At 33.2% G+C, this 15078-nt stretch overlaps 1 pseudogene, besides 1 other annotated feature; it reads left to right on the forward strand.

The window, feature by feature from the left end:
• Positions 972–1473: an enhancer, noted in NCBI's record as "NANOG hESC enhancer chr5:26009819-26010320 (GRCh37/hg19 assembly coordinates)". NCBI's record gives its function as "activates a minimal SCP1, AML or CMV promoter by ChIP-STARR-seq in naive H9 embryonic stem cells {active_cell/tissue: H9 hESC(naive)}" and the evidence as "EXISTENCE:reporter gene assay evidence [ECO:0000049][PMID:30033119]".
• On the forward strand, positions 4151–4287 carry RNU4-43P (RNA, U4 small nuclear 43, pseudogene; annotated as a pseudogene).

Here is a 15078-nt window from a genome sequence, read left to right on the forward strand (position 1 = left end):
ATGTCTTTATTAGCAGTGTGAAAATGAACTAATACATCAATATTTGTGTCATTGGGTGAGTCAGAATTGGAATACATATCAAAGAACCTGTAGCTCAGAATTCTTTTTACCAAACAATCGGCTTCACACATCACAGCAGTGATATATGAATACTACATTTCCTTTTTTAATCATAAAAATAATGTCCCATAATAAAACCTAGAAGAGTACTCTGAGAATACATTCATATTTATGTATATATCGATATATCTACACCATGGAGAAAATTAAAAGTTAAGACAATTACAATTTTTTTTTTGCCATGTTTAGAAGTTTGTGGAAAATAAGATTGTCTTTCATTCACTATGAATCAGAGTGCCTTTGATTTTTTTTCCAGCACAAAAAGTGGAAATTGAATTAGGTAAGTACATTTATACATTGAAGGTTTGGAACTACATGTGGAAATGTATTAAGTTTATTAACAATGTTTGAGAAAATAATAATGATGGAAAGAAGAGTTGGTTCTAAATGAGAAGAACCCAGTGATATAACTAACTCTGCCTAGTCATTTGAGTAAATTTAACCAAGTCTCTTATTGTCTTTGAATTATATTTTCTGAAGTGTAAAATTAATATTTCTTTCAATGCAAATGAAAGATTTACTGAGCATCTTCTCTAAATGAAGTACTTCAATGTGTTATAAAGATGAGTCAAAGATGGTCTCTGTATATTAGCTCCTAAGATGTTTATTTCTTCACAGCATGCTGAGATCTGTTCACTCAAAAGTCTGCTAGTGCCAAACTCAAAATTTTATAAATCTAATGTTTCTTGTGTTTTAATGGTTTCAGGAATGTTTCCCCAGCAAAGAAATAAAATATTTTTTTCTATATTAATTTTTATAAACATGTAATATCCTAGTCTATTTGGGCTGCTACAACAAAATACCACAAAAAGGTTGGTTTATAAACAACAAATAAACAGATTTTTAGGCACTTTGTCCTCACAAAGTTATGCCCATCGACCAGCTGTTGCTGCTCTTCAGAGGTCTCTGACCCAGAGACAATCTTTCAGGCTACTGGGGAACATCACTGAGATATGTAAGTCCCCTCTCCAATACCCCTTTTCTCCAGAGTTCACTGGCCCTTCTCCTCTTCTAGACGTTCCCCGAAGTGAGGATTTGGAGAACGTGCAAACCAATGTATCCCCCAGTAAAGTCGTGTGTGCTGCTGCCGCCTTCTGGTCATGGCTTTTTCCTTGTTCAGCTCTGAAATCCCTCAGACCTCCTGCTACTAACAGAGCCTTTATTAATGTCACTAGGGTTGACCAGATTACTATTTATAAACTGCTTTATTGAGAGATGTTGATATAAAAAAGCTGTACGTAGTTTGGAGATAAGTGAAACCCAGGAAACACTGCCCACAATGCTAAACTTATAGAAGCATAACAGAAAGATGGGTTCTGGAGGCTGGTGGTGGGATGGGGGGCGGGGGGTGAGTAGTGGGGAGCTGTTGGTCAAAAGGTGCAAAGTTTCAGTTATAGAAGATGAATGAAACATTATATTTAAGTTGTCTTCAAACTAGATATATATTTTTTCTTAAAAATAGCATTCAGTGAGTGTTGGCTTTCTGATTATCACTGCAATATATACGGCCAGTAAACAAAGTTTAGAAATTCCAAAATATAAGAATAAAAATATCTATTACTACATTTTTCAGTTTAAGTCACAGTGCTGTTCATGAGAGACATAAAATAACTGACGTTTTAAAAATCTCGCTTTGACACATCTAGTAAATGCTTTTCCAAATACATCATAGCAATTCAGTCGGGTACAAAGAAACAGACATTCATGTTCCAGATCTTTGCCAGTATTGACCATTGTAAATGTAAACAAAAAGGGGAGATTTTTAGTTTTATAGTTGAAAATGGAATATCATTTTATTACACATTTTATTACTATCTAGTGAAACACTGGAACATTTTTTTAGACCCTTAAGAAATTGACATTATTGCATACCTATTTTTCAGTCATTATCTTAGCATTATCTATATAAATATAATATAAATATATATCAGATATTATGAACCTTTATTTTTAATTTTTAAATTTATATATATTAAATATTCTTATATCTGAAACTATTTTTCCTTGTAGTTTTTCATTTTTTCATTGTTTCAGAAATGACTTCCCAAAAAGAGATAAAATATTTTTTTCTCTATTTTTTTTTATACTTAAATATTTTAGCCCATTTGGGCTGATATAACAAAATATCAGAAATGATTGGCTTATAAACAACGAATATTTGTTTTTTACAGTTCTGGAGCCTGGGAAGTCCAAGATCAAGCCACCCACAGATTCAGTGTCTGGTCACAGCCCTCTTCCTTATGGGTAGCACATTGTTCCTGTGTCCTCATGTGATGGAAGAGGCAAAGCAGCTGTCTTGGGCCTCTTTTATAAGGACGCTAATTTTATTCATGAGGGCTCTGTCCTAATGAGTTAATCACCTCCCAAAACTCTCATCTCCTAATGCAATCACTTTAGGAGTTAGGATTTCAACATATAAATTTTGAGGGGGACACCAGCATTCAGACTACAGCATTGAATACCTTTATTCTCCAAGAGTTTGTATGCTGGTCACATTTCCATTGTTATGATAAAATATGCATACCGTAGCATTTACTATCTTCACCATTTTTAAGTGTGTAATTCAGTGGCATTAAATACATTCACATTATTGTGCAACCATCACGTCACCACCGTATATCTCCAAAACTTTCTCAGCTTCCAAACTGAAACTCTTTGCTTATTAAGAAATAACACCCCATTTCCTCTTTCCCTCAGCCTCTGGCATCCACCACTCTACTTTTTATATCTATGAATTGGGTGTGTCATATCAGTTGTATTAGTGAAATTGTGCATGGACAGAGACCTCTTTAATCTCACCCCAGTCAACTTTACCTACTTACTGAGAATGATCATCAAGCCCCTTTCTGGTTATCATTTAATGTCTCCCAGCTAAGTGTTAATATCTAACACTTCTAAGAAACTTGATTATTTAAAAGTGCTATGGGAAATGATTTCAATCAATTACCAAAGTTAACCAATCTGGTAGAGATCTAAGGTGGTAGCTCAGGCCACAAACCTAATTTTATGATATTACTACAACATTAAGTGTTTGGACGACAGTCTCTTACCTGTTCAAGGAATAGACCCATGTTTTTCCAACCTTGCAGTACAAAAAGCCTGTAGCCAAAGAGTCAGGTTGTTTCACTTTATGTATATAATAATATGGGGAATATGGAATAATATATATGATATATTATGTATAATATTATTTGTAATTATAATAATTACCATAAAACACCGTTTCTAGTAAAATATACATAGAAATTCAAATAAAGTTTATATTTAAGTTCCTTTCTAACAATGACTCTATTAATTTTATAACTGTTTAAGTCTTCTTTTCATTCTTAGAGTATAGACATGTAATTGTTACTGTGGGAATCAGTTAACTTGTCTTTCATATTTCATTTCCTAAGTGCTAAATGGAGTTTCCCTGGCAAAAGCTGTCTTTTGCTGTCAATATCTGACTCCCAGTTACATTTGCAGCACAAAGCATTTGAATTGACTGTTACAGTGTAAGATTTCTTGCAGCCTTATCTTTTATACACTTCCTATCTTGTTGTGGAAAAGCAAAGAAGGAAGCTTTCTGGGTCAAATGCTTATGTTCTGTTGAAGATTAAAGAATATATATTCACTACTTATGTGACATTATAATTTCTTTATTCTAATCATTAATAATATTGAACTTAACTATCCATAATGTAAAAGTAAATGCATTACCATAGAAATATGTGCTTCTTATGAAATTATGGAACATTTTTTCTAGTTTATTATATATTTAAATACATTATAGTTTTAAAAGCAAAATGTTATAACATGCCCAGAGTGGTATAAGAATAAAATAACGTTTCAATAGAAATTTCCTCTCTTTGAACTTCAATTTATAGACAATACATAAAGCTAGAAATATGTTGAAACTTTCTAATAAAACTCAATGAATTTTCTCTTTTAATCAGAATTATTAAACGAAACAATTCAAAATAACTAACATGTTATACAAATATAATAAATTACACAGTGGATTTTTAAACTTGTACAAATAGTTTATAACAGCTTTGCACATTGGCAGTATTATAGCTAGAGGTTTATTCAAGAAGTGATTATTGTTAATTGAAAACTTTCCTGTTACCTCACCACGATGACTTGTAATATAATCAACATTGGTAATTTTTGATATTATCCAAAAAAACTAAAAAAATGGTTTATAACAACAAATGCCAGTTAATATATAAAGCATAAAGTAATGTTTGTATGCCTTGAAATGAGTATAATTGATTAAACAAGTATAATAGTGACAAATTTTTTAACTTTTACTGAAAAGCTGAGATTTCTGAGCCTTAATACAAATAGATAAATAATAAGTTGCTAAACTTATTATTAGTTGTTGCTAAATTATAATGCTTTTTTTGTTTTTTTTTTTTTTTTGGAAGGATCTCACTCTGTTGTCCAGGCTGGAGTACAGTGGCGTGATCTCGGCTCACTGTAAACTCTGCCTCCTGGGTTCAAGTGATTCTCACACCTCAGCCTCCCAAGTAGCTGGAACTGCAGGCATCTGCCACCACACCGAGCTAATTTTTGTATTTTTAGTAGAGACAGGGTTTCACCATGTTGGCCAGGCTGGTCTTGAGCTCCTGACCTCAAGTGATCCACCCGCCTCAGCCTCCCAAAATGCTAGGATTACAGGCGTGAGCTTCCATGCCTGGCCTAAACTATTATTCTTAGAAAACTAATTTTAATATGTGGACAATACTGGAAGAAATACAGTAAATGCAAATTAACTTATAAAATTGATAGATGTATTTTAACTAAGAGGAATAAATGTCTAACAGAATGGCACTAAAGCCAATTACAATAGACTTAACTTATTTAATAAATAAGATGCATACATTTGAGATTTCTTATGAAGATATAGCAACAACTTTTCAGAAAACATTTTATTCAATTTGATAAGAAAATTTGTGTGGCAAGTTTTAATAGAGTAAGGATAGAAGAAATATTTTAATTCATAGAGTAGAGAGTCACAGCAGTTAAAATTATTTTATGAAGAAAATATAAAATAGCACTTTTTATTTGAACCCTAACTTAAGAATAAGGAATGTTAGGCATCATTTAAATTTTTATGAAAATAATAAAATGCCCTACTTTCACCGTTTTAACTAAAGAAAGAAAAAAATGGTTCAGGGGAAAACAGTTATAGAGATGTAGATTTTGACTCAGACTGAAAAATGAGAGACCATCAAATCAGTAAAGAAAATAATTTAGAAATAGACATATAAAGTCACATTCAATATGACCATGCTGAAAAGAAAAGAGAATATGTTTATTTTGTTGAAACAAGGAGCAATTTATACAAAGAAACATGGCAGGTAATAGTTGGTCTATGGAAATTTCACCAGAGGCAGTAGGAATGCATGGGCCAGATCAGACCAAGTGTCAGCGCTAGTTAGTTCTTAACAGAAAAAAGTACATGGAAGCAATAAAAATAGAGTGAATGTTAATCTCAGACTGCACATAATGACTACTAGACTAATTTATTCCCAAAGGATCACACAAGCAGTGAAATTCAGAGATAAAGCAGAATGCCTGCCAGACACCAAGCTGTTATTAGAAGTGGCAGACATGCAGTGTGTGATTAAAGAAGCAGTAATAGTTGAAATAATTTACTGTGCAAATTTCAGTTACCTGCACTTTCTTCCAGTCTATTAGTAACTGTTTCTAGCAGAACAAAGTCTTAGAATAGGGGACCTGTATAATTCACTGGTTCTTTACAGCCAGCAAACCAAAGATATGAGAGAGGCTCTTGACACAAACAAATGTACCATTTCATAAACTGACATCTCTATATTGCACATTTTTTCCATTTATACTTTTGAAAACTTTTACGTCTGTGTCAGTTAAAATGATTATCAACCTTGGTAACGTATTTTTCCTCATTTCAAAATGTACATAAATCTAGTTTCATATGGCCCACAGAACTGATGTCTATGACCAATAATTTCAATTATCTCGAAAAGTAAATGAAAAATGAAATTGATCCAATGGCCAAACACAAAACCTCAAAGTAAATCACATATTTCAGAACCTCGAGGTTCAATTTTGTGCCATAAACATTTATAATTTGGGGTGAATAAATAACTGTAACCTATAAAACATATTATTTATTGTGATGGTTAATTCTTTTTTTTTTTTTTTTTTTTTTGAGATGGAGCTTCGCTCTGTCGCCCAGGCTGGAGTGCAGTGACACGATCTCAGCTCACCGGTGGCTCCACCTCCCAGGTTCAAGTGATTCTCCTGCCTCAGCCCCCTGAGTAGCTGGGACTACAGGTGCCCGCCACTACGCCAGGCTAATTTTTTTGTATTTTTTTAGTGGACACTGGGTTTCACCGTGTTAACCAGATGGTCTCCATCTCCTGACCTCGTGATCCATCCACCTTGGCCTCCCAAAGTGCTGGGATTACAGACGTGAGCCACCGATAGTTAATTTCATGTGTTAATTTGGTTGGGCCACAGGATGCCTAGATAGCTGGCATTATTTCTAGTTGTGTCTGTGAAGATGTTTGCAAAAGAGTCTGATATTTGAATTCTACTTAGGAAAGCAGAGACTTCTCCCAAATGTGGATGAGTGTGATGGTTAATATTGAGTGTCAACTTGATTGGATTGAAGGATGCAAAGAATTGTTCCTGGGGTGTGTTTGTGAGGGTGTTGACAAAGGAGATTAACATTCGAGTCAGTGTACAGGCAGAATCACCCTCAACCTGGGTGGGCGCCACCTAATCAGCTGGCAGCTTGGCTAGAATAAAGCAGGTAGAAGAAAGTGGAGTGGGGAGACTTGCTGGGTTTTCTGGCCTTCATCTTTTGCCTGTGCTGGATGCTTTCTGCCCCTGAACATCAGACTCCAAGTTCTTCAGCTTTTGGACTCTTGGACTTACATCAGTGATTTTCCAGGGGCTCTAGGGCCTTCAGCTGCAAACTGAAGGCTGCACTGTTGGCCTCCCTACTTTTGAGGTTTTGGGGCTCGGACTGGCTTCCTTGCTCCTCAGCTTCCAGAAGGCCTATTGTAGGATTTCGGCTTCTGATAGTGTGAGTCTATTCTCCTAATAAACTCCCCTTCATATATACATATATCTTATTAGTTCTGTCCCTTTAGAGAATCCTGACTAATACAATGTGTATCATCCAATTTTCTGAGGGCCTGAACGGAACAAAAGAAGGTGAAGAAAGGCTGAATTTTATTTCTGCCTGACTGCTGGTACATCAATCTTTTGCTCTCCTTCTGCACTCCTGAAAGGGCCTGCAGATCGAGACTGGAATCTACACCATTGGTTCTCCAGCTCTTAAGTCTTCAAATTACACTATTGGGTTTTCTGGGTCTCCAGTTTACAGACAGCAGATCATGGGAATTCTCAGTGTCAAAACTGTGTGAATCAATATCTTTATAGTAAATGTCTCATACCTATATCCTATTGGTTCTGTTTCCCTGTAAAACTCTGACTAATCTATTTGCTAAAGTAACCTTAAATCATACTAGAGATTTAGTAACTCAAAGTAATATAGAGAGCCATGACCATTCAATGGGGAAAGGACAGTATTTTTAGCAGATGTATTAGGCAAACCAGACATACTCATGAAAAAGAGAATGAAGCTGGACCCTTACTTTACACAGTATACGAAATTTAACTGAAAATGGAACCAAAACTCTTAATGATAACACAAGGGAAAATTTTCATAAAGTTAAATTTGGCAACCATTTCTAAGATGTAAAGCAAAATTTTTAGCAAAATTTAAACTTTTGTGCATCTAGGAACACTATGGGCAGAGTGAAAATGCAACCCATGAAATGGGAGAAAATATTTGAAAATTATCATTGGATGAGAACTTAATATCCAGAGTATATAAAGATCCCCTATATTGCAATAAAAATAGCAAAATGAATTTAAAAATGAGCAAAAAACCTGAATTGATATTTCTCCAAAGAAGATCTAAAAATGGCAAATAAACACATATAAAACTGCACTATCTCACTGATCACTGACGAAATTCAAACCAATTGCTCAACAAGATACCACTTCACATTCATTTGAATAGCTGTTATAAACAAAATAAAACGAAAGAAATCATATGTGTTGGTGAGGATATGAAGAAATTAGAACGTTTGTACATGGTTGGTGAAAATGTAAAATGGTACAGCTACTAGAGAAAATGGTATGGCAGTTTATTAAAAATTGAAACTTAGAGTTGTCATATAATCCATTTATTTCATATTGGAGTATATGCCCAAGGACTTGAACAGATATGTCTGAATGTATATCCATGTTTCATGTATACCAACATTTATAGCAGCATTATTTAAAGTAGCCAGAAGGTGAAAGCAACTTGAGTGTTCACCAGTGGGTAAATGGGTAGACAAAATGTATTATATACATGCAGTGAAATAGTTTTTCAGCAAGAAAAATGAAGGAAACTTTAACATATAACATGAGTGAATCTTGAGCGCTTATGGTAAGTGAAATAAACCAGTCATAAAAGACCAACTTGCATAACTCCACTTATATGAGTAACCTCAGGTGGTGAAATTTATAGAGCCAAAACAAAATTGGCAACCAGGGGCTTGGGGAGGAAGAAATGAAGAGTGATTTTTTAATGGGTCCAGATTTCAGCCTGAGAGATGCAAAAAAAAGTCCTAAAGATGAATAGTGGTAATGGCTGTACAAGGATGCGGATACAGTTATTACCACTAACTACAGTCATAAAAAAGATTAAAATAATAAATTTTATGTTATGCATATTTTACCACAATAAAAAATAAAAAAATCACAAAGCATTGATTATAGAATTGTGTTGATGAACTTATCTTGTATAAATAAGTACCATTTTTACAAGAAGGCATAAAAGAGGAAAAAAGACGAAAGTGTTGTATATTAGTAAAATTATGTTGGTATTAATCAGAACTAGATTCCTTTATTGTAATGTACAAAGTGAAAGGTCCAGGCCAACAACAACAAATACACACGCACACAAAACCAAGCCAGAAAAAAAAAACAAAAACATAACACCACCACCACCACCAACAAAAACTTCAAAAGTAAATTAAAACAAGAAAAAGGAAATCAAAATTCCATGGTAGAAAAAATATATTTTGCAGAAGGTATAAATTGAAAAGGGCATAATAAATATAGAAAAAAATAATAATTGTAAATCTGATCAGTAATTACCTTAAACGTAAATAAACATTCTGATTTTTAGTGGGAGATACTTGAAGAATGGATAAAAGTTCTATGATCAATCTGTAGGCTGTCTACCATAGACACATTTTAGGTCTTCACATACAAATCAGTTGAAAGAAAAAGAACAGGAAAAGATGTACAATGTAAACAGTAAAAATAAGAGCTAAGATTGCTATACTAATAGTTGACAATATAGACTTTAAATATAAGTGAGTTACTAGAGAAAGAGAACAGTTTACAACAATAAAAGCATTAATCCATTAAGAAGACGTGTCAATAATAAAACTTTACATATATAATAAAACAGCCTCACAATACATGGAAACAAGAACTAACAGACCTAAGACAAGGGATAGGCAAATCTTCATTGGTGTCATTAATATTCAGTGTCAAACATGGATAAAACTACTACACAAAACATCAACAAGAAAATAGAACACTTAAACAAAACTATAAACCCATTATGTACCACTGTCAAACATTTAATGAATAATTAAAACAACTCCTACACAAACTCTTTCAAAAAAATTAGAAGAAAAGAAATTGCCCTCCAATCTATGAGAACAGAATTACCCTAATTTCAAAACCAGACAGTGGCAGCATATAAAGAAGAAATTATCGAAAATTATATCTAACAAAGGAACAAAAATGATTATAAAAATATTTGCAAAAAATGCAAATCTATGACAAAAATAAGCATATATCATGACCAATGAGTTTATTTCAGGAAGGCAAAATTTAACATTCAAAAATTAATCACCACAATATTCCATATTAAAAGAATAAAAGAAAAAAGTATGTAAATCTCATGATATACAAGCAAGACATTGCAAAAAAGTTAAACACTCTTAGTAAACGCATGAAAAAACAGGAGTTGGAGAGAACACCTCAAAACTAAAAATGAGTATCTGTGAAAAATATTCACCTGTTACCATATTTAATCGTAAAAAATAGAATACCATGGAAAGACAATAATTTCCACTCTCAGAACTTCCATTCAACAATGTACTAAAGGTCCTTTTTGTTGCATTTAAATAAGAAAAAAAAGTAAAAGGCATCCTGATCAGATACTGGAAAGTAAAACTATTAGCAGTTAAAATGATCACGTATATACAAAATATAAGGAATCCGCTAATAGTATTATAATTAATAGTGAGTTCAGAAAGTTTTCAGAATATAAGATCAATGTACAAAAAAACAACTGTAGCTCTATACATCAGCAAATATACAATCTGAAAATGAAATTTAAAAATGATTTTATTTACAAGAGCATCAGCAAAAATAGGAATAAAGTTAACAAAAGAATTGCAAGACTCATACAGTGAACTACAAAACGTTGTTGAAGAAAATTAAAGAAGAACTAAACAAATGGGAAAACACCCATATCATGGAATAAAAGACTTCTTGAAAACTACTGAGAGTAGATTTTGTGTTCTCATCACAATAGTTATAACTTTGTGAATTAATGTATATGTTAATTAGCTAAATTTAGCCATTCCACAATGTGCATGTGTATATATTTTTAAACATCATATTGAACACAAGAAATGCATACAATTTTATCTGTCAGTTAAAAAAGCAAAATAAAAGTAAAAGGAAAGACTACAGTTAAATGGGCAATACTGCTGAAACTTCCTACAGATTCAACATAATGGTTATGAAATCTCAACTGGCATTTTTTTTTTTTTTAGAAATTGGCAAGCTAATCATAAAATTTATATATATATGTGTGTGCGTGTGTGTGTGTGAGCAAAGAACTCAGAATAGGTAAAAACATTTTTTAAAATGTAAGAGGATTCATAATTTTTGATTTCCAAATTTATTAGAAATCCAAAATATTCATGACAGTGTTACATTGACATAAGTAGAGACATATAGATTGAGAATATTTTTTTAAAATTCATAAATAAACTTTAAATTTACGACAGATAATTTTCAACAAGGTTGCCATGACATGTCAATGTGTAAAAAGCAGTCTTTACAACAAATCGCACTGGGAAAACTGCGTATCAATGGGTAAAAGAATGTGTGGGTCCTCAGCACTTCATATCAGAAATAACTCAAAATAGATTAAGACCTACATACATAACCTAAAATTATAAACCAATTATAAGACAACACAGAATTAAATCTTCCTGGTGGGTCTTGGGTAAGGCAATCATTCTTCAATGTGAAAAAAACCATGAGTGACAAAAGATAAAGTAGATAAATTGAATTTCCTTGAAATTAAAAATGTTTCTACTTCAAAGTACGCTATCAAGGCAGTGAAAAGACAACCTCCAAAATGAAAGAAAAGATTAGCAAATTGTAGTTCTAATGGGTGACTTATAAGTCAATATTATATAAAAGACTTTTACAATTCAGCAATAAGATAAATAACACAAATAAAACTGACAATTTAAATAAACAATTTTCTAAAGAAGGTAAACAAATTAACAATAAGTACAAAAAAGGATACTCAGACTTATTAGTCACCTGAATAATGCAAGCCAAATAAGAATAAGGTTTACTTATTTATTATTTCTTTACCTCCAGCAAATGGCTAAAATGAAATGGCAAACAATGATAAGTATCAGCAAAGATGTAGAAAAATGAGCTGAGTGAAGACAAACTCTCATTCATTGATGGTGTATGAAATGGTACAACCTCTTTGGAAACAGTTTTTCAGTTCCTCACATTGTCTATGTGTAATAGAGCTACCATAGCTCAGCCAGTTTGACTCCTAGTTATATAACCAAAAGAACTAACAATGTGTGTTCACAAAAAATTACACATTAATGATCATAGTGGCATTACTCACAATAGCCAAAAAATGTTAAAAATCCGCATGTCCATTGACCGATTAATGCATAAACAGAACGTGGCATATCCAAACAGTGAAATATTATTTGGCTATAAAGAGGAATTGAGTAACAACACAGGTTAAATATGAATGAACCTTGAAAATATCATGTTACATGAAGTAAAACAGTTATAAAAGACCTATATGATTTCATTTATGTGTATTGTCTAGAAAAGGACACTGCAGTTCAGATTCTCCCTCTTCCCAGTTCTTTTTGTCTCACCTTTCACCCTTCAAATCTTCCCTCCTGCATGCAAAGTCTCAGAGTCATTCCCAGGTTACCCAACTGTCTCATTGATTCACTTTTTCAGAATAAATAAATAGGAAGTACGCTCATAATTTATACAGTAAAATAGTCTGCTACCTTTGTCTGTGATTTAATCTCAGAGATAAGACAATATGGTAAAGTACAGCACTGTATGGTGCATGATAGTAACACTACAATGATATTATATAAAAGTAGTTTTAGTGCATACAAAATTGGAAATATTCTAGTTTATGACTCAGTTAAAAAACATTAGAGGTAAAAAAATAAAGAGAAGAAAAAGACGAAGGAAGAAATATTGAATGCAAAGGAAAGAAATGGAAGATGAGAGAGAGGCAATGTGGGAAAGAAGAAAGCAAAGAAACCGGAAAGGAAAGGAAGGAGGAGAGAAGGAAGAAAAGAGGATGGGAGGGAAGGTAGGAAGGAAAATAGGTAAATGCAAAATACTCAAAGACTTTGTTTTGGTTTGATTTAGTTTGGTGTTTGGCTCAGGTTAAAATTTTTCTCTATTTGTTAATTAGGCACCAGCAGAAAGACAATGAATTATATCTCCAGGTATCTGAAGAAATCATTAAGGAAATAATGCAAAAATAAGAATGTCACAATAGCTAAAAGACAGATTAATGTGCTGCAAGTCAACAAATCCACAAGATTTGGGTTATTATTTCTATAAGCCAAAAACTGTTTTAACATCATTTTTTCAATATGTTAGTGTCTAATTTCTTTAGGCTGAAAACATAATTCAAACAAATATTTATCTCTTGAGAGAATTATAGGAGTGTGAAGTGAGCTTAGAAGAATTTACCTCGAATATTAAGAAATCAGTTATTTTGTCTTATGTTCATGTTTCAGTAAATTATTTCTTTGTAATAAGAAAGTGAATAAAAGAAAAAAAAAGGATAGAAAAGGAAATAATAAGTACCTGGAAATTTTGGAAGGATAGTCAATTACCTCAAATTTTAATTGTGTGATGTAAAACTTATTAGGGGAGCATAGGCTTTCTAAACAGAAGTTAACACTTTTCTAATGATTTAATATTCAATGAAATAAACAGTCCTAAAATTTGTCCTGTGACTGTGAGTACTTTTTATAAAAGCAGTGTTGCCTCCTTCTGGGATAGTCCAATATATGAGCTTAAGATTTGTTCTTTTGAGTTTTGTACTTTGACCTAGACACATGGTACATGTTTTACCAATATTATAAATTTAGTGCTCACACATTGCTAAGAGATAATTTCTACCTTGCATTATCAATATGAAATCTGAGGCTCAGAGAGTTTTTGTTGGGAATGGTTCTTGATTACCATGCCTTTAATCTCATTATTACACTGGTTCTTGAAAGGACATTTGTGCCTGATAACCCCCACTATGGAAAAAGACAAATAAAACAAAAAACACATGAAACTATAATCAGTTGTTCATGTGGCAATCTGTGGATATTTAAAGAAAATGTCTAGATCTCCTCCCCCCAGGAAAATCTTTGTACTCTGTGCTGTAAACCAGCCTACTTGCCAGCCAATATCGTACAGTTTTTTGTTGTCATTTGTTTTGTTTTGCTTTTGAGGCGGAGTTTTGCTCTGTCACTCGGGCTGGAATGCAGTGGCACAATCTTGGCTCACTGCACCCTCCAGCTCCCAGGTTCAAGTGATTCTCCTGCCTCAGCCTCTTAAGTAGCTGGAATTACAGGTGCGTACCACCACACCCAGCTAATTATTATTATTATTATTATTATTATTATTATTCTTCTGTACTTTTAGTAGAGAGGGGATTTTGCCATGTTGGCTAGGCTGATCTCAAACTTCTGGCCTCAACTGAACCACTTGCATTGGCCTTCCCATATTCTGGGTGTCATACAGTTTTAAGTTCTCATACTGTTCATGTCCCTGAGTGCCCTTCTTGTCCTCGTACACACACTTTCAAGTTTGTTAGTGTAACTCTTTGAGCATAGTATAAATATGGACATAGTATATTTGTTGTGACTGAAATATCATAGACTATAGATTAAATGCTTTGAGTATATGCAAATCCTGCAACACAGAACCTGAGAAAAATGTGGGCACAGAAAGGAATCTGTACTTGAATTACAATCTAAGCTTAAAATGATTGCATTATTATATGTCAGATAAAAATAAGGTATTGTTTTACTAAACTAATTTAAATGTTTAATTATGTCAGAACTTGAAAATCATATACCCTGCTTCCTCACAAAAGTGCTATAAGATACATCTGCTCATGTGCCTCTGGCAGCTGTGGCTGTGTATTTGCACTGCCACTGTAGGAATCTGATATTGTAATCTGAGTAAGGTACACGTTGAGCTTCTGGGAGCCCACCAGAACTGCCTCCCTGCAATATATTCTCTATAATTGGCGAATGTGTTGTGTCAGGAGCAGCTGAATTATTCAATTATTCCTTATCAGCTCTCTCTAAAAGGCTGATCTTACACCTGATGACATTACTGACAGTTCAGGAAAAAGATCGGTGAGGTCAAGCAAGTGCCTTGCTCCTGATAATATGAAGCCTACGTGTCCTTCAGCCTGTACTTTGGTATTCTGGCTTAGAAATTCTGAATAGTGTTAATCTTCAAAGTCCAACATATCTGCAATATAGTGTAGCTCGTTTCATTACTCAAGGATGAGCACTTTATGTT

The sequence above is a fragment of the Homo sapiens genome, chromosome 5 (assembly GCF_000001405.40).
Source record: "Homo sapiens chromosome 5, GRCh38.p14 Primary Assembly".
In the NCBI taxonomy this organism is placed as follows: domain Eukaryota; kingdom Metazoa; phylum Chordata; class Mammalia; order Primates; family Hominidae; genus Homo; species Homo sapiens.